Source organism: Homo sapiens, chromosome 7 (assembly GCF_000001405.40).
Source record: "Homo sapiens chromosome 7, GRCh38.p14 Primary Assembly".
Taxonomy (NCBI): Eukaryota; Metazoa; Chordata; class Mammalia; order Primates; family Hominidae; genus Homo; species Homo sapiens.
In genome coordinates, this window is record NC_000007.14 from 104,734,761 (window position 1) to 104,758,036 (window position 23,276).

The window sequence follows — 23,276 nt, forward strand, 5'->3', positions numbered from 1 at the left end:
GGAGCTGCGTTCCTTTGGAGGAGGAGAGGTGCTCTGATTTTTAGAATTTTCAGTTTTTCTGTTCTGTTTTTTCCCCATCTTTGTGGTTTTATCCACCTTTGGTCTTTGATGATGGTGACGTACAGATGGGGTTTTGGTGTGGATGGCCTTTCTGTTTGTTAGTTTTCCTTTTAACAGTCAGGACCCTCAGCTGCAGGTCTGTTGGAGTTTGCTGGAAGTCCACTCCAGACCCTGTTTGCCTGGGTATCACCAGCAGAGGCTGCAGAACAGCGGATATTGGTGAAAAGCAAATGTTGCTGTCTGATCGTTCCTCTGGAAGTTTCGTCTCAGAGGGGTACCCCGCCATGTGAGGTGTCAGTCTGCCCCTACTAGGGGTGCCTCCCAGATAGGCTACTCAGGAGTGAGGGACCCACTTGAGGAGGCAGTCTGTTGGTTCTCAGATCTCAAACTCCGTGCTGGGAGAACCACTACTCTCTTCAAAGCTGTCAGACAGGGACATTTAAGTCTGCAGAGCTTTCTGCTGCCTTTTGTTTGGCTATGCCCTGCCCCCAGAGGTGAAGTCTACAGAGGCAGGCAGGCCTCCTTGAGCTGCGGTGGGCTCCACCCAGTTCGAGCTTCCCAGCCGCTTTGTTTACCTACTCAAGCCTTGGCAATGGCGGGCGCCCCTCTCCCAGCCTAGCTGCCACCTTGCAGTTTGATCTCAGACTGCTGTGCTAGCAATGAGCAAGGCTCCGTGGGCATAGGACCCTCCGAGCCAGTTGCGGGATCTGATCTGCTGGTGTGCTGTTTGCTATGACCACTGGAAAAGCGCAGTATTAGGATGAGAGTGACCCGATTTTCCAGGTGCCATCTGTTACAGCTTTGCTTGGCTAGGAAAGGGAATTCCCTGACCCCTTGCACTTCCCAGGTGAGGCAATGCATCGCCCTGCTTCAGCTTACGCTCGGTGCACTGCACCCACTGTCTGACAAGCCCCAGTGAGATGAACCCAGTACCTCAGTTGGAAATGCAGAAATCACCTGTCTTCTGTGTCACTCATGCTGGGAGCTATAGACTGGAGCTGTTCCTATTCAGCCATTTTGGAACCGCCATAACACTTTCTTTATCAGTTCATCCATTGATAGACATTAGGTTGATTGCATAACTTGGCTATTGTGAAGAGTGCTGTAATAACATGGGAGTTCAGATATCTCTTTGACATACTAATTTTATTTCCTTTGGACATATACTCAATAGTGGGATTGCTGAATCATATTGTGGTTCTATTTTTAATTTTTTGAGGATCCTCCATGTTGTTTTCCATATGGCTATACCAGTTTACATTTCCACCAACAGTGTATCCTTTCTCTGTATCCATACCAGAAAAACAAAGAAAAGGAAGGAGAAAAAAAACAAAACTTTTCTGTGGCAGGGGAAGAGGGGTGATCCCAATATAAAAATATTTTTCATAGTGATTCAAAGTCAGTACACACTCTAGTGTTTGCCATGTTATCCTTTTGTGGCTGCTGTCATAGCTCCTCAAATCCAGCCTTGAATTGTTATTTTGCAGTGTTATGATTCCTTATGACCTATCTGTAATGGAACCCTTCCCACAAATGCACCCCAAAATTCCATTTCTTAATATTTTCTTAACCTCTTTCGGGATGCTTGCGTTCACTGTAAAGTGCATTCCCAGAGTTTCTTTCAATGTAGAGTGCTGGGCTGCTTTTACCTTAACCAGCAACACACACACGTGCACGTTTGCATGCCCACACACACACACACACACATTCAGAGTGACAGTGGTGAGATTTGCTGTTTTTTAAATCAAGAATAATTTGAAACAATGATTCGACAGACAGTGGAAACATTTGCTAAGTTAAAATTTATTGACTTATCTTTTTTGTTTCTTTTGTTTTTCTCTCTTTCTCTCCAAGCTGCCTGCCTTGTGCTTGGCTGTATGATTTTCCCTGATGGCTGGGACTCAGATGAAGTAAAACGGATGTGTGGAGAAAAGACAGACAAGTACACTCTTGGGGCTTGCTCAGTCCGCTGGGCATACATCCTGGCTATTATTGGAATTTTGGATGCCCTGATCCTCTCATTTCTAGCATTTGTGCTTGGTAATCGACAAGACAGCTTGATGGCAGAGGAACTGAAGGCAGAAAACAAAGGTAAGATTGCTTTAAGGAACTCTTACCTGGATGCCTCAAGCACAAAAAAATGGTGCTCTCCATTCTTTCCCCTCAAATACTAGTGCTTCCCCTGAGGTTCTAATTTGCTGCCTCTTTTAATACCGTGTAGCTTGCAGACTTTACCCCAGACTCAACTCAAGAAGCTTACACAATAAAAATATAATATTATACTTACTTATCTTTCTGAAACTCCCTTAGTCCATTATTATTATTTTGATGCTTTTTTTTTTCCGGTTTCTTCTTCCCTCTTCCTCTGATTTCAGGTTTGCCATCAGAACTTAATGGCTAAGATGTAACTGTGGGTGGTGTCTATTTGGTTGAATGGAAAGTACTTTCTCTCCATGTATTCAGCTATGTTTCAGGTTGAAATAAATGCCTGGAGAATCTCTAACATCATCTATATATATCTTTATTAAACTATTTGTGATAATTGAATTCAGACCCAACTTCTCAGAGAGAGGTAGTAACACTGGCCCCAAATAGTTAGTTAGAGATTTCAGTAGTTACCTAATTAGCTGAATTTTAAATGTGTTGTCTGCGTATCAAAAGTCCTCAGATTTCTTTTCCAAAAGAAATTGCCTTCTGAAACACAAAGAAAACCAGGATGGAAAATAGAACATTGACTATTGAATGATACGTAAATATATCATAGTGGGCAAATAAGAGGTAGCAAGTTGTTATTGAAGATGAATCTTTTAATTTTCTTTTCAGATTTCTAAACCAATTTTTTGGGATAGAATTTTGGTGTCTCTGTTTTTTTAGTAGACTTAGATTCATTTAACAGTTTTATCTTTATGTTATCTTTAACTTTAAAACTGTGCACTTACATTATCACCTTTAGCTGAGTGGCTCCTTCTTCTAGCTCTTATTTCTAATTGGGAGCTAAATCCATCCTTGAAGTATGAGATTTAGCTTATTATTTCAAGTAGGTGCTAATTTCAAAAACCCTTCACTGCTTCAACGGGACTCAAATATAAGTATATACTAGTTTCTACATAACTGTCACATGTAATGATATAGCAGGCTTTATATCTAGACCATCACTGTTTATGCGGGTAAACTGTTTATGCGGGTAAACTATGACATAGAAATAGTCTATGGACTAAAATGGAGCAGCCCAGCAGAGCAGCAGTCACCCACAAACCCCTTTTCTCCCTGATTTATAGACAGAACACATATTAGTTTTCTTAGTTCTATCAAAAATATTCTAAACACAAAAATAACCCTTACACAGGGGAGTGGTGCTGAAACTTCCTAAAAACAAAAGTACCACCTTCTCAGAGCTGCCCTTTCTAGATAAAAAGGATGATATGAAGATAATTACACTTTTATTTACATTATAGATTTTGTGCTTTCACAGGCATTCATTAGTGTGGTACCTTTGTTGTCTTTGTAGCTTGTTGGATGTAGACAGGTCTCTGTCCAGTTAACTTTACTTCAAATGTAATGGTAAGGAGAATTCAATATTAGAACAAGCTATCTTTTTCAAAAGAATGAATTAAATAAAAGCCTAGCTTGTTCTGCAGATTATGATTTTTGCCCCCACCTAAATGGACCAGAATGCTATTGTTTCCTGTACAGTTCAAAGTCATATTGAGAACCTTTCACTTTCCAGACATCTTTTGACCACAAACAAAGAGAAAAAAATTCACAAGAAGAAAAATATAACAAAAGCAGGAAGATTTTTACTTGGGAATTGAGAATTACAACTCATACTCATGTATGAGTGACAATAATTCTCCCGATTCATGGTTCAGAAAAGAACAGCTTAGAGGTATAGAATAATGCTCAACAGTTTTCAAAATTGGTCTTTCCTTCTGGTTGATGCATTTATAGGTTGATGTCTGATCCTTTCCGTCTGAGTCTTCATTAAACAAAGCATCGTGTTCCGTCAGTGATATATTAAACCACCTTGCTATAACTTTTGATGAGAAAGAAGGTTTAGGGATTATCTTTGCATAATTTTTCTGTGTTCATCATCTTCTCCATTTGCATATGTGACCGTAGTTTCTTCCATCTTGTTCTGAAGGACGAAAATTAGTAGGAGTTCATCTGTATCAAACCAGATAGATCCAATAAAGCAGTGGGATCATCAGGCCACATTGATGAAACATTTCAGTTGCACCACATTTTTATTTCTCAATTGAAATTCCTTAATCTCAGACTCTGAGAAGATGTAAACAGCTCTATTGTAGGGAATATCAGACCCTCATGCAATGGGATCTATACAAAATCAGACCAGGATTTCTAAGCCTTGTATAAAATTTAGTCAAACCTGCATGTTCCTGGGAAATGGTACAAGATTTACACTTGCTATACAAAGTAGTCTTTATTGTTTGGTATTATTTAAACACTTGCTAAACATTGAAGCTTCCAAAGTCAGATTGTTTGCGGAAAGACCAATCAGTAGTTGTGTATGTTGTATGTGTGAATATAGTTTCATTAAACAGTAGTTTAGTAGTGTTCAGGTGCATGTAATTATCAAAATTAAATGTCATCAATGCTATCTTCTATAGATTCTAAAGGAAGAGAGGTTGGTTTTAACTAAAAATATAAGAATAATTTGAAATTGTGTAATTAATTATATATAAATGGGTGCTTTTACAAATTGCATGGATGCATTGATATAACTTTTCACCTATTAAGACTTTTTTCACTATTTTTTTTTGCTGCTGTTCTTGTTTTGGATTTCACTATTAAGTTTTTTTCTGATAAAACTACTGAGATGTACAATGGTAGTCAAGGCTTCCTTTTGGTTTCAGGGCAATGCAGTGAGACAAGCAAATCTAGTTCCAGCTTGGAATTTTAGAAGAATTTATTCAGCACATGATGACTTTCAGTGTCATGGAAGAAGGCAATGTCATATCTCAAGACTTGGCTCAACAGAGCAAAGTATTCATACATTCTGATAGAGATTACACATCTGAAAGGGATACACACTGTAATGTCTTTTATAATCTTCCAGTTTTATGGTTGATATGGTCTGGCTCTCTTTCCCCATTGAAATCTCATCTTAAATTGTAATCCAAATTATAATTTCCACGTGTTGGGAAAGGGACCTCATGGGAAGTGATTAGATCATGGAGGTGGCTCCCCCATGCTGTTCTCATGATAGCGAGTAATTTTCATGAGATCCGATGGTTTTATAAGTGTCTGGCATTTCCCCCGCTGGCACTTCTCTCTCCTGCTGCCATGTGAAGAAGGATGTATTTGCTTCCCCTTCCACCATGATTGTAAGTTTCCTGAGGCCTCCCCAGCAATGTGGAACTGTGAGTCAATTAAACCTCTTTCCTTTATAAATTACACAGTCTCAAGAAGTTCTTCATAGCAGCATGAAAATGAACAAATGCAATGGTCTACCAATTATATCACTTACATCCCATAATGAACAACAAGAGCATTATAGTGAGAATAGCCTGAAATTGTAGAATATGCCCCTAATGTGAAGTTCTTCCTGAGTGTCACTTTCATGTCATGATGATGTCTTCTTTTTGTGGCTATTGTAATTAATGCAGCAACACACTTCCCCATTTATCTGGAAAGGCCACTGTATTAGTCTGTTCTCACGCTGCTAATAAAGACATACCTGAGACTGGGTAATTTATAAAGGAAAGAAGTTTAATTGATTCACAGTTCCACATGGCTGGGGAGGTCTCACAATCATGGTGGAAGGCAAAGGAAGAGCAAAGTCACATCTACAGGGCAGCAGGCAAGAGCTTATGCAGGGGAACTCCCATTTATAAAACCATCACATCTTGTGAGACTTACTCATTATCACGAGAACAGTATAGGGGAAACCGCCCCCATGATTCAATTAATCTCCACCTGGTCCTGGCCTTGACATGTGGGAATTATTACAATTCAAGGTGGGATTTGGGTGGGGACACAGGCAAACCATATCAGCCACCATATAGATTCAGGCTTTCTAAGTGTCATTGCAGCAAGGATATTGCTTAGATCCATGAATGCTTCCCAACATTCCACCTAATGGATACACAAAAAATCACTGTTACATGAATTCTAAAATATGTAAGGGAAGGGAAAAAGCTCAATTCTAATTGTTGAACTATGCTCTACTCACAGAGTCTTTAGATGAAAGGGAATACAAGATGCTGCTGAACCATAAATTAATCGTCACAAAGGTGATATTCAAAAGGAAAACAAGGGAGGGGTGTACACAGCTAAAAGTCTCCACTTCTACAGACTGCTTTTTCCTTGACACACTTCAGTCAACTAGCCCCAATCCTCTTTTCAGTGTCCCCCTTCAATGCCTCCCACATGCCTAAGTTTCTCCTTTCCACGAGATCATTTGAAAGAAGTCACAGCTAAGATTTATCATAAATTGTAAAGTGGGAAAATTAAAATGAAGGAATTTTAACATACTTAAAAAGTACATTAAAAATGTACTTTCATGAAACAGAAGGCAACAAGTTTGAAGACACAACTGTTGTCTTAAAGAAAACCTTTATAAGAGATAAACTGAATCATCCATGGAGCTCCAGTGAAGTGCCAGAATATTTCTTTATGCCAAAAAAAAAAAAAAAAAAAGCCCCACTGAAAAACAAAGAAAAGTGAAACCTCTTTAAATATCTAACTAACTTAATTTTTTTTTTTTTTCTTAGAGACAGAGTCTCACTCTGTTGCCCAGGCCAGAGAGCAGTGACACGATCATAGCTCACTATAGCCTTGAACCCCTGGGTGCAAGCGATCCTCCTGCCTTAGCCTCTGGAGTAGCTAGGACTACAAGTGTGTGCCATCACATCCTGCTACATTTTTGTGTATTGGCGGCGGGGGTTGTTTTTTGTAGAGACAGGGTACCCAGGCTGGCCTCAAACTCCCGGTTTCAAGGGATCCTCCTGCCTCGGCCTCCCAAAGCAGCAGGATTACAAGTGTGAGCTGCAATGTCCAGTGCCAACTAACTTTATATAGGAGCTGGCACATGCAAGAAAACTCAACTGCCTGCTCTGAATTTGGGGAGCAGCTCTACAGGATGTGTGCTATCCCTGGCTCTGGGGCTGATCATGGACAGGCAGGTATTGTTTGGGAGTTCAGCAGCATGATTTCTAAATGAGCCAATAACAGTAGGCATTTAACCTTGATATGCTGCTTAATTGCATATTTTAACACACTGAACTGTGAAGTCAATTTAATTATGTAAAATTAAAGTTTCATCCAGATAAAAAGGATTTGAAATGAAAGCTTCATTTTCAATTTCTTTCATTAATTATGAAAGGATAAATAATTACATTTTCCAGAGCTCCTATGCCACAAATATCTCTTTCCTTGTCAGACACCATTCATAAAGAGGTCTGTTTCTGCATTTGTGTATATGGTCTTTGGAATTTCTTATCAGATAATTGGGTCCTCTCCTGAACAATTTTAAAGTTACTTTGTCTTCTAGCACTTAAACTACAAATGAGAATACATGATTAACCATCAAGAGGTGACTCCAGCCACCATTTATATATTAAGGGTTTAAGCTCTTTTCAATGCTATAGTGGAGGAGGTAGAATAAATTCACTTTATTTAAGCAACTAATTGAGAAATCTTTCAAAATTTTTGTTTTAGGTATCACACCATGCTATGGCCACACTGGGAGTGGCGGTGTGGTGTAGTGGAAAGATTGTCCACTTGGATCAAGCTGCCCAGTGCTAGTCCTGTCTCTGACACCAGCTGAGGAGCCTTGGGCCAATATCTTAATAGTTCCAAAATTAAGCTTCCTGGCCTGTGAAATGCAGGGCATGACCAAATGTCATCTGAGGGTCTTTCTAGCTATAATATATTTCAATTCTATGGATATCTTCAGAGGTGTTCTTTAAAAAGAGGACATGAGGGCAGTAAATGCTCCTGCCTTCATATCAGTGAGCACATTAAATACTCTTTTAGGAACTTGTTAGTATGCAGTGTTGACTAGGGGAGGGGATAGGTAAAAGTCAAAGGGGATGGGAGGCCGAGTCAGGATGATCACTGGGACAGGAGTTTGAGACCAGCCTGGCCAATATGGTGAAACCCCATCTCTATTAAAAATACAAAAAAAAATTAGCTGGGCATGGTGGTGGGCACCTGTAGTTCCAGCTACTCAGGACGCTGAGGCAGGAGAATCTCTTGAACCTGGGAGGCAGAGGTTGCAGTGAGCAGAGATCACGCCACTGCACTCCAGCCTGGGCGACAGAGAGAGACTCCATCTCAAAAAACAAACAAACAAACAAAAAAGTCAAAGGGGAAGGGGCTCTAGGATGCCCTGAATGTTTCCTGCTTCAGATGTGTACCCACCCACGGACCCATGCTGTCAGAGGCCCATACACTCATACCACCAAGAGTAGAATGAGTGCAATTTAGAAACTCTGGTCCATGGCAGAGGAGCCTCCTTGCCTCACTGGATTCTGATACCATGTGGTGTCCATGTGAACACCTTAATAGTGGACAGAGCCCCAGATCATAGACAGAAAACTATTTCTGGTCTCAACTCTGGCAGGTATTAGTCATGTGACTTTGGCCTAGCCCCTTAACATCTTAGAGCCTGGGCTTTACCTTCTTTAAAGTATTTCTTTAAAATATTTAAAAATATTTAACAATACCCATCCCTGCCTCCTACATAGATTTGAGAGAGTCCAACAAAAGCATGTGTGTGAAAGCAATTTATAATCAATAATATCTACATAGGCTTTATTTATTCTCATTACTAAGCATTTTCCCATATAACCTTTTCATTGATCTCTGCAATAACCCTGTGAGATGTTTATCATTATCCCCATTTTACACATCAAAAACCAAGCTACAGAAAAGCTTAATATTTTATCTAAATTTTCACAGCTAGGAAGGATTGGATGCAAGACTCAAACACAAATCATTTTACTCAAAATTTCAAGTTCTTTGTTTTACACAGTATCATGTAATCAATTCTTTTTTCCTTTTTTTTGAGACAGGGTCTCACGCTCACGCTGTCACCCAGGCTGGAATACAGTGGCATGATCACGGCTCACTGCAGCCTCGACCTCCTGGGGTCAGGTATTCCTCCCACAGCCTCCTAAAGTAGCTGGGACCACAGGCACACACCACCACACCCTGCAAATTTTTTTTGGTACTTTTTTTTTTTTTTTTAGAAACAGTGCCTTACCATGTTGCCCAACTGGTCTCGCGAAGTCCTAGGCCCAAGGGATCCACTTGCCTCAGCCTTCCAAAGTGCTGGGACATATAATCAATTCTTATAGATGCTTGTTCTGTTGCTTTCAACTTGATCAGTCCACTCTGTACAAGTAAAGAGTTTGGTCTTATTTTTATTTGACAGCTTTTAGATAATGTTATTAATCAACAGTTTAATGCATTTAAGAATGAGGAATAGCCTTTGAAAGCTATACTCTTACTTGGATATTAACTTTATAAAAACCTTACTGAAGTAAGATCAGGAAGCCCAGAAAAAAAAGTATCTTCAAGTGCTTTGAATTAAAACTTTCATAAGGTCATAGTGAACTGCCTGTTTCCTGATGGGATTTGTGTTTAACAAAGTCCTTGTGGTCATCAAAGCATCTCAGAATGTGCCTCTAAAGAAACTGCATATATCCTGTCACATTTTCAGAAGGGCTCAAGTTAATCTGAGAGTTGGAGCTGACCTTAGATGCCCTTATAGAATTGTCTTATATTCATGCTGCTTCTAATTCCTCTCCTCCCACTCTTTTCATGAACTCATTCCATTCAGGTTTTCACCTCAGAATTTCACAGGCACTGTCTTACCAAGGTCACTCCAACCTCCCAATTGCTAAATCTCATGCGCAACTTTCAATCCTTATATTGACCTGTCAGTAGCCTTTTCACAGTTAACTACTGACCCCATCTTGAAACCCTCTCTTCAGTTGGCTTCCGGTCACTGACCTTGCCTAATTTTCTTTCTGGGCTCTTCTGATGTGGTCTCCTTTGCCAATTCCTCTCACATGGCTCCACTCTTTAACTGGTGTATCCTTTCTAGCTACACACACTTCCTTAGGTAATCTCATCAGGTGTCACAACTTTAAATAACATCTATATTCTGATTTCTCCCAAGTTTAAGTAAGCCTCCTCCCATCCCTTCAATGAACTTTGGTCTCTATACCCAACAGCTTACCCGATACCCTTTTTTGAATATCTAATTAGCTTCTCAAACTTAGTATTTCCAAAACTGAGCTTCTGATACTCCCCACAAAATATCCAAGCCAAAGCAGACCCTGGTGGTTGGCTGACACTTCCCAACTCCCTTTCCTCTCTGGCCAACAAATTGTCCGCAGGAGTCGGCTGCAGGGTTCCTGGGAAACTTTTGCTTTCCTGATACAGAAGCTGCCCCTTCCTCTTTCTCCTTCTTCCTAAAGGAACATAAAAGAGATAGCAGGAACTGCAGCCACCATCCAATGACTGTGAGGAAATGGAGAAGGGAATCACAGAGATTTGCACACTGTGAAGTTTTTAAAACAAATTCCAGGAATTTTACATGAGAAAAACAAAACTCTTCTTATTTAAGCCACTATGGTTGAATGTGCTGCTACTTGCAACTGAAAGCATTCCTAATTAATATAGTATGTTTCAAAAATGAATATTTGTTGTGGTATAACCCTGTAAGTATGTACCAAGAACCAATGCAATAACAGGAGGAAAAACTGACAAATTATTCAAGACTCTTCCTAGATGCCTGTAGAACACAAATTCCCAATCCCATCTTCATTCATTATATTTCCTCAGAGGCTGGATGAATACTTTTCTCAGTCAGAAATCACTAGCCCAAGCCAAATTCAGGTACCCAATCCAGAGCTGCCCTGGGTTGAAAATGTGTAGTCCTGTATTAGTTCAGATTATTTTATTTGGGGTGCTGCATGCCATAAGCTTGTCTGAAAAAAGGGGGAGGCTTTCAAGAATTGGTCCAGACAGAGAAATTTTGTCTTCTTGAAAAACTTAGGTCAACAATTCATATGCTTCAGCTACTAAGGGGGTGTAGTAACTTAGGGGTGATAAAACAAATGTCCCCTCTCATCTATATTGGGGATCAAGGTAAAGAAATATTGAAATGCAGTGACAGAGGCAGAGAGGCCCTGGTTCTTCACAATCACCTGGGGGAGATTTAAAAGGATTCCAGGCCGGACATGGTGGCTTATGCCTGTAATCCCAGCACTTAAGGAGGCCAAGGCAGATGGGTCACTTGAGGTCAGGAGTTTGAGACCACCTTGGCCAATATGGCAAAACCCCATCTCTACTAAAAATACAAAAAATTATCCAGGTATGGTGGCGGATGCCTGTAGTCCCAGATACTTGGGAGGCTGAGGCAGGAGAATCGCTTAAACCCATAAGGTGGAGGTTGCAGTGAACCAAGATCATGCCACTGCACTCCAGCCTAGGAAATAGAGCGAGACTCCATCTCAAAAAAAAAAGTATTCCAGGGATTGGGTCCCACTCCAGAGAGTCTCATTCAGTTGGTATGAAGTAGATCTAGGAATGAAAAACTCCCCAGGAGGTTCCAATGCACAGCCAGTATTGAGGACCAATGAAGTCACTTAACTCCCTTGTTTTACTGATGAAAAAGCCAAGGCGCAGAGAGAGGAAATGAAATCTCACCAGTTTGTTTTATTATAATTAGAAATCAGTAAGTAACCCATGACATAGAAAGTTTTACTCAATCACAGGCTAAAAAAATCACATTTCTGATAAAATTTTATTGTTGCCTTTTCTTGGAAACAGAGCTCTCTGCCAGCCTTGGGAAACTGATTTGTGCTACCTGCTAGCTCTGTGAGTTTGGGCAAACTTAAGTGTCTTCATCTATAAGGGCATTAATAGAACCTGCCTGATAGAGATTTTATAAAAATAAAAAGAGATAATGCATGTAAAACTGTCTTTCACAATATCTAACACATGTTAACTATTGTCATTTTTAGTGCTTTGATTTAATTTAACCAACATTTATATAGTGTTTGATTAACGGGGTGCATAGCCCATGCCCCTCACTACCTTGCCCTGCTGTCTCCCTTTGTTCCTAATATCACTGAATCATCAAGGAGGCCTCATGAAGATCTGGAGATTGCTTCCTCCACATGCTTAAATTTAATTTTTTCATCTGGTTGCTTTACAAATATTTTTAAATATAAGGGTGATCATAGTTGGTCAGTTGGTTTCGGTTTTTGTTTTGTTTCTTATAATCTCCCCACATACACCTGTATTTATGAGGTAAGAGACTAAAAGGTTATTCCTTTACAACATTTATTCTTTTATCACATTTGCCATCCATGGAACTCAAACTGTGTAGCTATTTCTGCAAGTTCGATGACAGTCCCCAAAGAAAGCCCTTATTCCCCTGATGGAAATGTGACTTCTTAGAATGTTACACATTTTCAACCTGGCTGAGAATTCCCTCGTTGTATTGATAGACAGATGAGGAACAAAGCCAAGCCTTAAAAATGTCTATGTGAATTTGGGATGAGGTGTCCTTCAGAAGTAACGGAGGGAAGAGATTCTGCCCAGGCAGAAGAAACAATAAAGACAAGAATCCCCCGTGTAGAAAATACGATCACTTTAGTTCATACACAGGGTGATGAAAATTTAGTGCTAGTAGGTTTGTAGGTCCCTGTGTTTTGTCCAGAACATATCTTTACTTTCCTCACCATAAACACAGCAAGTAAAAGCCAAGTGTCAAGCAAATATAAGTAATACAATTTTTATTATTATAGAAGTTAAAATAAATCTTGGGAGACTATTCCCCCATTACTCAGAAACTCATTTCTCTTTGGCTGTCTCTTGGGATGCATTCTGAATTAATCCCTTCCTTCACCAGCTAATGCACACCCACTAAGTGACACCCACAGCAAGCCTTATCATTATTATTATGCAAATAATAATTTTCAGGTAGTAGCTATGGAGCTTCTAAGAGCATAATATTTACTTGGGATACTTATCTTAAATGCAAATTCTGACTTCAGTAGTTGTAAGGAACAGCTCTGTAATCTTTTTTTCTTCAATTAATAAATTGTATTTTTAGAGTGTGGGGAAAAGCAAGAGAGATCAGATTGTTACTGTGTCTGTGTAGAAAGAAGTAGACATAGGAGACTCCATTTTGTTCTGTACTAAGAAAAATTCTTCTGCCTTGAGATTCTGTTAATCTATGACCTTACCCCCAACCCCGTGCTCTCTGAAACATGTGCTGTGTCAACTCAGAGTTGAATGGATTAAGGGCGGTGCAAGATGTGCTTTGTTAAACAGATGCTTGAAGGCAGCATGCTCCTTAAGAGTCATCACCACTCCCTAATCTCAAGTACCCAGGGACACAAAAACTGCGGAAGGCCGCAGGGACCTCTGCCTAGGAAAGCCAGTATTGTCCAAGGTTTCTCCCCATGTGATAGTCTGAAATATAGCCTCGTGGGAAGGGAAAGACCTGACCGTCCCCCAGCCCGACACCCGTAAAGGGTCTGTGCTGAGGAGGATTAGTAAAAGAGGAAGGAATGCCTCTTGCAGTTGAGACAAGAGGAAGGCATCTGTCTCCTGCCTGTCCCTGGGCAATGGAATGTCTCGGTATAAAACCCGATTGTATGCTCCATCTACTGAGATAGGGGAAAACCGCCTTAGGGCTGGAGGTGGGACCTGCGGGCAGCAATACTGCTTTGTAAAGCATTGAGATGTTTATGTGTATGCATATCTAAAAGCACAGCACTTAATCCTTTACATTGTCTATGATGCAAAGACCTTTGTTCACGTGTTTGTCTGCTGACCCTCTCCCCACAATTGTCTTGTGACCCTGACACATCCCCCTCTTGGAGAAACACCCACAAATGATCAATAAATACTAAGGGAACTCAGAGGCTGGTGGGATCCTCCATATGCTGAACGCTGGTTCCCCGGGTCCCCTTATTTCTTTCTCTATACTTTGTCTCTGTGTCTTTTTCTTTCCTAAGTCTCTCGTTCTACCTTACGAGAAACACCCACAGGTGTGGAGGGGCAACCCACCCCTACATCTGGCGCCCAACGTGGGGCTAAGGGATCTATTCTATTTATTTGCGCTGACTGAATTTTTTCTTCCACTAATTTAATTTCTTTTGTTGCCTCTGGGGTTAACATTCTTTTACTATTTAAGTCTGAGTTTCCTCTTAAGATAGAGAACAAATTTGACATGGCATAAGTAGGAATGCCTAGAGTTGGCCGAATCCAATTAATATCTCCCAGCAATTTTTGAAAATCATTTAGTGTTTTTAATGTGTCTTTTCTTATTTCTATTTTTTGTGGCTTAATTTTTCTATTTTCTATCTGCATCCCTAAATAATGAAAAGGAGTAGAGGTTTGGATCTTATCAGATGCTATTGCCAGTCCTGCATTGGCAACCTCTGCTTGCAGAAATGTATAACAGTCAATTAATTTATCTCTCGTTTCTGTAGCACATAAAATATCATCAATATAATGAATAATATAACAGTCTGAAAACTTGTCTCTAACTGGTTGAAGAGCTCGACCTACAAAAGTCTGACAAATAGTTGGACTATTAAGCATTCCCTGAGGTAACACTTTCCACTGAAACCTGGTGGCTGGTTCTTTATTATTTATGGCTGGTATAGTAAAGGCAAATTTTTCGCAATCCTGCTCCGCCAGAGGGATGGTAAAAAAGCAATCCTTTAGATCAATTATAATTAAAGGCCAATCTTTTGGGATCATGGCCGGAGAGGGCAACCCGGGTTGGAGAGGCCCCATGGGTTGAATTACGGCGTTTACGGCCCTTAAGTCAGTTAACATATGCCATTTGCCTGATTTCTTCTGAATTACAAACACAGGAGAATTCCAAGGCGAGAATGAAGGCTCAATATGACCCTTTTCTAACTGTTCATTTGCTAATAAATGTAAAGCCTCCAGTTTTTGTTTTGGTAGTGGCCACTGATTTACCCACACCAGTTTTTCTGTTTTCCAAGTTAATGGTATGGGTTTAGGAGGCTCTACAGTGGCCGCCCCTAAAAAGGATACCCTATTCCTTCTCTTTCTTGATTTATTTTAGCCTCAACTGGAATTTTAATGCCATCTTCATTTTTCCCTAGTCCCTTTCCTGGTATATATCCCATCTTGGTCATGATTTTTTGACTCATGGGGCTATATAATGGAGCGGGCATGGTGATTTCCGCACCCCATTGTTGTAATAAATCTCGACCCCACAGATTAAGAGGAATTGAAGTAATCATTAGCTGAACAGTACTTTCTTGATTATCTGGCCCTAAGCAATGTAAAATCTCAGTACTTTGATACACTTCTGAGGCTGTGCCTATGCCGACAAGTCCTGTAACAGCCTTTTGTTTAGGCCAATTTTTTGGCCACTGATTTAAAGCAATGATAGAGACATCTGCTCCAGTGTCTACCAACCCTTCAAACTGTTTTCCTCAAATAATGGCCTTACACACAGGTCTGTTCTCTGAGACCTGACTTGCCCAATATGCAGCCTTTCCTGTCGGATCAGTGCTTCCAAACCCTCCTATTCTTTTTATTTCACTATTTCCACCCTTAATGTATGGCAGGAGTAATAATTGAGCAATCTTGTCTCCTAGACTGGCACTCCAAGGAATTGAAGAGCTAATAACCAATTGAATTTCGCCTTTATAGTCTGAATCAACCACACCAATATGAATTTGAACTCCTTTTAGATTTAGACTTGATCTTCCCAAGATTAGTCCTACAGTCCCCTCAGGCAGTGGGCCATATACCCCTGTGGGGATTTTTTGTGGGGGCTCCCCTGGAAGCAGAGAGACTGCTTGTATAGTACATAAATCTACTGCTGCACTGCTGCTTGTGGCGGGAGACAATTGTTGTATTGTGGTAACTGGCTTATTCCCTGAAACACTTGGGACAGGGGGGGTTGTTGTCCCTGAAAACCCTGAGGAACAAATGGCTGAATTGGGAATGCCCCAGTTTGTTGTGGGGCCTGAGGCTGGCCCCTTTGCTCATTTCCCGACAATGGTTGCCCATTTTTATCAAATTTAGAACGACATTGACTAGCCCAATGTTTTCCTTTTTTACATCTTGGACATAAGTCAGGTGGCTCTCTACCTGTTGTGGTAGTAGCTTGAATAGTTATATTCTGTTTATTTAAGACTGGGCAATTCTTTTTTAAGTGACCAATTTGACCACAATTATAACATTTTCCTCCAAATGTTCTAACTTGTCCTCCTAAAACAACTTCTGTTATTGCTTGAGCCATAAGCATAGCTTTATGCATAGCTCCTCCGATTCAATCCAGGCTTTTACATATTCTGAGATTACATCTGATCCTGCAGGAACCTTTCCTTTTAATGGCTTAATGGCTGATTGACACTCAGGATTGGCGTTTTCATATGCCATCAACTCCACTGTGACCTTACAGGCTTTTTCATCGGCAATTGACTTTTGAGCAACATCTTGGAGCCTTGCCACAAAATCAGGGTAGGGCTCTTTTGAACCTTGTCTTACTGTATTAAATGAGGGGCAGGCACTTCCTGGGTCTTGGATTTTTTCCCAGGCTCTAAGGCAGATAGCTCTAACTTGCTCAATGGCCTCATTTTGCATTAATGCTTGTTGACTAATAGTACTCCAATTTTGACCTATTCCTAATAGTTGATCTGCATCTATGTTAACTGGAGGATTGGCAGCCCTATTTCTTCGGACCTGTTCTTGAACCCCATCAATCCACCAAGTCTTAAATTGTAAAAATTGAGAGGGTGAGAGAGACGATTTTGCCAGAATCTCCCAATCATAAGGAATGAGTCTATGTCCATGAGCAATGGAATCTAATAATGTCCTCATATAAGGGGAGTTGGGTCCATACTGTTTTACTCTCTCTTTCATATCTTTTAGCATTTTTATCGAAAAAGACTTGTATCTGGCCTCAACTGTGAGAGGCTCTCCCTCTTGGGCTCCTTCTCCAGGTGGCATCGGTTCTAACGTTACTGGGAATTGCCATGCCTCAGTATCTCCTTCCTTTCTTGATTTATCAATAATTTCATGTAATTCACTACCCTGTCTACTAGGTGGTGCCGTAGGATTAAGTCTCCTAGTGGGCGGCTGAGGGTATGGCGCCCTGCCCTGTGGTGCTGGGGGCATTCCTGGATATCCATACTAACTTTCTGGGGGTGGCCGATACTGAAGTTCAGCCGGCGGCCAGTATTGATAGGCTACTGGCGGTTGGGTCTTATTTTCTTTAACCTGCGTTTGAGGTTGTAATGTTACAGGCACCTGACCTGCTGGAAGAGGACTTGTGCCTCGTGGTTTAGACTCTGATGGCCCCACTAATTCGGGACCTTTTCCTTCTAATTTTAACGTTTCAGGATATATCACCTCCTGTAATTGATTATAGTCAACATTTTGCGTTGACTGAGCCATTACCGGCTCTGCTACATATTCGCAATGTAAACCTTCTGTTTCTTTCTGGGATTTTTTCCTTGTCTTTTCATTACAATCTATTAAACAGCTTCCAGGGGCATCAGAAACTGAAACGCTATCTTCTTCTGTTTGAAATGGTTCTAAAGCTGCTTTAATAATGGCCCAATCATTCCATACTGTAAGTGGAATGATATTACCCTTCCTACCTGCTTGTTTTAGTTCCTTACCAATTCTTTTCCAATCTTTTAGATCTAAAGTTCCTTGTTCTGGAAACCATGGGCAAAATTGTTCTATTATTTGAAATAGCTTGATTAGATTTTTTGTAGATACTTTAACTCCCCCTCTTTTTAAAAGAATTTTAATAAAGCTGAGATAAGAGGCATATTTACTTTTAATTTTACTTTTAGTTTGCCCCATTATCACCCTAGCTTCTTCCGAGCGCACAAGCTTACCGTAAGGCTGACTGTAGACGTACTCGGGATCTCTCGTCGACTTGTCCTCAATGACCACGCTCGAGTGTACCTTCACCCTAGAGAAAAGCCTCCACGTTGGGCACCAGAGCAGTTTAGGTGTACAGCAAAACTGAGCAAAGTAAAGAGAGTTCCCACATACTCCCTTCTCCACCAGCTCACAGCCTCTCTACCATCAATATCTTACATCAGTGTGGTCCAGTTATTACAACTGATGAACTGATATTGACACATTATTATCAACCAAATATTAGGGGTCACTCTTTGTGTTGTACATTCTATGGGTTTTGACAAATGAAATCTTTATTTTTAACAAGCACATTTAAGTAAATGCAATGCAATTAATTTGAGGACCACACTTTAAGCAACACTGCCCCTGGTGATTTATAATCACATTAACACTATGATTATAATGTAACGATACTGAGGCCAACAACAATGGCCAGACCACTATAATAGAACTTTAGAGTTCCTTTCATAAATATCCTGGCAACCTTGAATGCATAAACAGGCTCTATTCCAAAAGTCCACTTCTAAATTGATGTCTTGGAACTCAGATCACAGGCTTTTCACAGAAACAATTGATGTATACAGTGATCAAGTTCTTGGACCTACTCTTTAAAGCTTATTTCACTCATAATATTATAAGGTTATTTTAACAGTCATATTTAAAGGGGAAATAATAGAAATGTAAACCCATAAAGATAATGGACAAAAATGTTTTGAAAATATTTGAGAATTTTTTTTCAATATTCAATATTTGAGAATAGAGGTCAGGGGCCTCTTTTAAACAAAACTTAAAAGGCACAAACAATAAGGCAAAAATATATATTAATTGAAAACATCAAAATAGGACTTCTGTTCATGAGAGACAGCAAACACAAAGACCAGATGATAGATTGGGAGAAGCTATTTGGAATGTTTCTAGCCAATGTATCTAGAATAAGCAAAGGATTCCTCTGAATCAATAAGAAAAAAAAAAGCTCAATTACAAAATGAGCAGATTATGAATAGGTAATTTTTAGAAAAGGAAACTCAAAAACAGAGCCAGCATGTAAAGAAATGCCCAAATAATTGGTAATTAGGTAAATGCAAGTTAAAACAGTGAGTTATCGGTTTGCACCTTTCAGGCTGGCAGAATTTAGACAGGATCATAGGCATAGATTTGCCTTCACGTGCTGCCAGTGGGAGTGCAGACCATTATGAGGAGCAATTTAGTCCAACAGATAAACATTCCCTGTGACATGCCAATTCTGCTCCTGGATTTACACCCAGGAAATTTCTCACTTGGGCCTTAAGGGACCATGTATGAGGATATTCACTAGAGCATTACTTGTGGTGGGGAGTTGGAGGAAATCTGGTTGTTCACTATGGAGGGGTGGATAAAGAATTTGGGATGAGTAGAAACCATGGAGTACTAGGTAGCAGGTAAGAGGCAACAAATTAAATGAACACATAGCGAAGTGTATGGATCTTAAAAACAGAATGCTTAATAAAAAAAAGAAACAGAATAAAATAAGAAATAATTATCACTTAGATAAATTAGAAACAATGTGTACCAAACAACCATCTTCACTGTGCAAAAAATATTCACATAAAAATATATACGTTAATGGTTGCCTATGGAAGGGGAGAAGAATGGCAGTGGAAGAGAGGATGAAGAGGATTCAACAAGAAAGGACAGTGTGGTATAGGGGGAAGAGCACAGGCTTTGTTGTCAGCCTGCCTGGATTAGAGCCTTAGCTTCACTGCTTACTAGCTGTGGATCCTGAGCAAATCATTTGATGACTCTTAAGCTTCTTCGTGTGTAAAATATAGACCATGTTGTCCATCTTACAGTGCCATAGTGAGGTTTAAAACACATAATCCAAGTACGGCACTTAGCTCAGTGCTTAATATATAATTAGTATTCAATAAATGTTAGCAATAATTGCGAAAGAACCCTGGCCTCATGATGCAGATCAATAGTGGGAACAGAAAGCATTGAGAGTAGGAAATAAGGGTTGGGAAAAAGAAAGGATATGAGAGAACTGATTAAGGAACAGGAGGAGCATGGTGATGGTTAATTTTTCCATCTTTCCCATAGGAATCTCTCAGATGGCATCAGCATAGTCTTCTCTCCTTTACTCTCATTTTTTCCCCTTGTTTTCTCTTCTATTTTCCTAGTGCTACAGAAGTTCTCACTTTTTGTCACCAGGTGCTAGGGGGCAGAGTGCGGTTCATCTAAGGAGTAGAGAAGGGGAGGATCCGGGGTCTGCATGAGGAGGAAGAAGGAAGTGGGTCCATTGACTATTTCTGTATACAAACCACCCCAATATTCAGTGGCTTAAAGAGATAATTATTTATTATTCCTCACAAGTCTAGGGATTAGAACATCTAGGCTAGATTTGTCTGGGGGTGGCTTTGCCCCACATGTCTCTCATTTTCTTCCTGGAACTAGCAGACTAGAATGTCTTCCAGGTGATGACACGGCACAGAATAGTCAAGCCCAGCAGCACAAGGACTTCTGGAGTCTCTGCTATGTCACATTTGCTAACATCCCATCAGCCAAAGTAAGTCATGGCTGGACCATATACCCCATACACAGGGGAAAAGCACCACAAAATGACACAACAAAGGACATGGGTACTGGGAAGGGTGTAGAATTGGGGCCACTCATGCAATTCACACAAGGAGTCACATACTTCTCATGATTGACTAGAAAAAGTGAACATAGCCTAGCTGAGGAAGCAGGGAAACTAAATGCTGGATGATGCAAAAAGCAGGTCTAAGCAAGTTCTCTCTGTCTCTCTGTCTGTCTGTCTGTCTCTCTCTCTGTCTCTCTTTCTCTCCCCCAACCCCCAACACCACCACACACACACACACACACAGAGAGAAACACCCACATATATTAATGGAAGAAGCCCCAGTGACTAGTGTAGTATTAGTTTTTTGGTGTTTGTTTGTTGTTTGTTTCTTTGTTTGTTTGTTTGTTTGTTTTGAGATGGAGTTTCACTCTTGTTGCCCAGGCTGGAGTGCAATGGCACAATCTTGGCTCACCACAACCTCTGCCTCCTGGGTTCAAGCGATTATCCTGCCTCAACCTCCTGAGTAGCTGGGATTATAGGCATGCGCCACCACGCCCGGTTAATTTTGTATTTTTAGTAGAGACAGGGTTTCTCCATGTTGGTCAGGCTGGTCTTGAATTCCTGACCTCAGGTGATCCACCTGCCTTGGCCTCCCAAAGTGCTGGGATTACAGGTGTGAGCCACCACACCCAGCCTAGTATTAGTTTTAATAAGCTAGTTGGTAACTAAGGATAAATAAGTCTTGCTATGGGGCCAGGGGTTGGGATGGGGAGTGGGGATGGAGATCTGTCCTTAAGGAAGTAGACAGCTGGATAAATAGTGCTGTTTGGGGACATTGAAAAACACATGCGTGCACACACTCACACTCCACACACTTTCTTCAATCCAAAGCAAATGAGAAGTAAGGACTGAGATTAGTTTACAAGTTTTTATTAAGCTTGTTCCTAATTTTTAACTAGACACACCTTGCACTGAACCTTTGATAGCTTATTATTATAGCCTAATGTTGATGTTCATACTAATATCAACAGCAAGAGTCTGGCATCTATAAAATATAAATACAAAATTGTCAGTTACAATGAAATGAAATTAATATCCAGTCTCTTTTTAGACAAATCTTTTCTCCTAGGATGGGGGAGGATATACTTAAACAATCTGAAATGTGTATCTATATTACATTTTAAGCACGACAATTTTATTTTTATTTATTTATTTATTTTTAGACAGTCTCACTCTGTCACTCAGGCTGAAGTGCAGTGGTGCCCTCTCAGCTCACTGCAACCTCCACCTCCCAGGTTCAAGTGATTCTCGTACCTCAGCCTCCCAAGAAGATGGGATTACAGGCATGCTCCACCACACCTGGCTAATTTTTATATTTTTAGTAGAGATGGGGTTTCACCATGTTGACTAGGCTGGTCTCAAACTCCTGACCTCAATTGATCCACCCACTTCGGCCTCCCAAAATGCTGGGATTACAGGCATCAGCCACTATGCCCAGCCCACAGTGTTACCTTTTAAAGAAGCATTTATTCATTCAGAAAAGCATTATTTGCTTTGAATATTAAGCAGAGATTCTGACAACTTTTTTCACTACTGTGTGCGTAAAATATCTCTTTCACTGATGCTAAAATTAAATTTAAATGTGCCTTTAATATTTTTTAAATGTAACATTGTTGTACCATAGGCCTAGTACCTAGAATGGTGCCCTACAAGTGAGAAAAAAGAAAGTGATAGGGTACCCCAAAATAAAGCTGCACACCTACAACCATCTGATCTTCAACAAAGTAGACAAAAATAAGCAATGAAGAAATGACTCCCTATTTAATAAATAGTGCTGGGATAGCTGGCTAGCAATATGCGGAAGAATCAAACTGGACCCTTATCTTCCACCATATACAAAAATTAATGCAAGGTGGATTAAAGATTTAATTGTAAGGCCTCAAACTATAAAATCTTAAAAGGAAACCTAGGAAATACCATCTGGACATCAGCCTTGGGACATAATTTATAACTAAGTCCTCAAAAGCAATTGCAACAAAAAACAAAAACTGACAAGTGAGACCTAATTAAACTAAAGAACTTTTGCACAGCAAAAGAAACTATCAACAGAATAAACAGACAACCTACAGAATGGGAGAAAATACTTGCAAACTATGCATCCAACAAAGGTTTAATATCCAGAATCCATAAGGCACTTAAACAACTCAACAAACAAAAAACAAATAACTTCATTTAAAAAAAGACATGAACAGACACTTCTCAAAAGAAGACATACAAGTAGACAAAAAACATAGGAAAAAAATACTTACCATCACTAATCATCAGAAAAATGCAAATCTAAACCATAATGAGATATCATCTCACACCAGTCCAAATGGCCATTAATAAAAAGACAAAAAACAACAGAAGCTGGCAAGGCTGTGGAGAAAAAGGAACACTTATACACTTTTGGTGGGAAAGTAAATTAGTTCAGCCACTGTGGAAAGCAGTTTGGAGATTTCTCAAAGAACTAAAAATAGAACTACCATATGACCCAACAATTCCATTACTGGTTAGATACCCAGAGGAAAATAAATTGTTCTACAAAAAAGACATGTGCACTTGTATGTTCATTGCAGCACTATTCACAATAGCAAAGACATGAAATCAACCTAGGTGCCTGTCAGCAGTGAATTGGATAAAGAAAATGTGGTACATATACACCATGGAATACTACACAGCCATAATAGAAGAATGA

At 40.0% G+C, this 23,276-nt stretch overlaps 1 protein-coding gene across 2 annotated transcripts in view; it reads left to right on the forward strand.

Moving 5' to 3' along the window:
* LHFPL3 (LHFPL tetraspan subfamily member 3) overlaps window positions 1-23,276 on the forward strand; it is a 579,959-nt gene that overhangs the window by 406,158 nt on the left and 150,525 nt on the right. For both annotated transcript variants that reach the window (NM_001386065.1, NM_199000.3), the window contains exon 2: window positions 1,915-2,151. In NM_001386065.1, coding sequence (NP_001372994.1) covers window positions 1,915-2,151 — 237 coding nt within the window. The remainder of the gene's footprint in view (window positions 1-1,914; window positions 2,152-23,276) is intronic.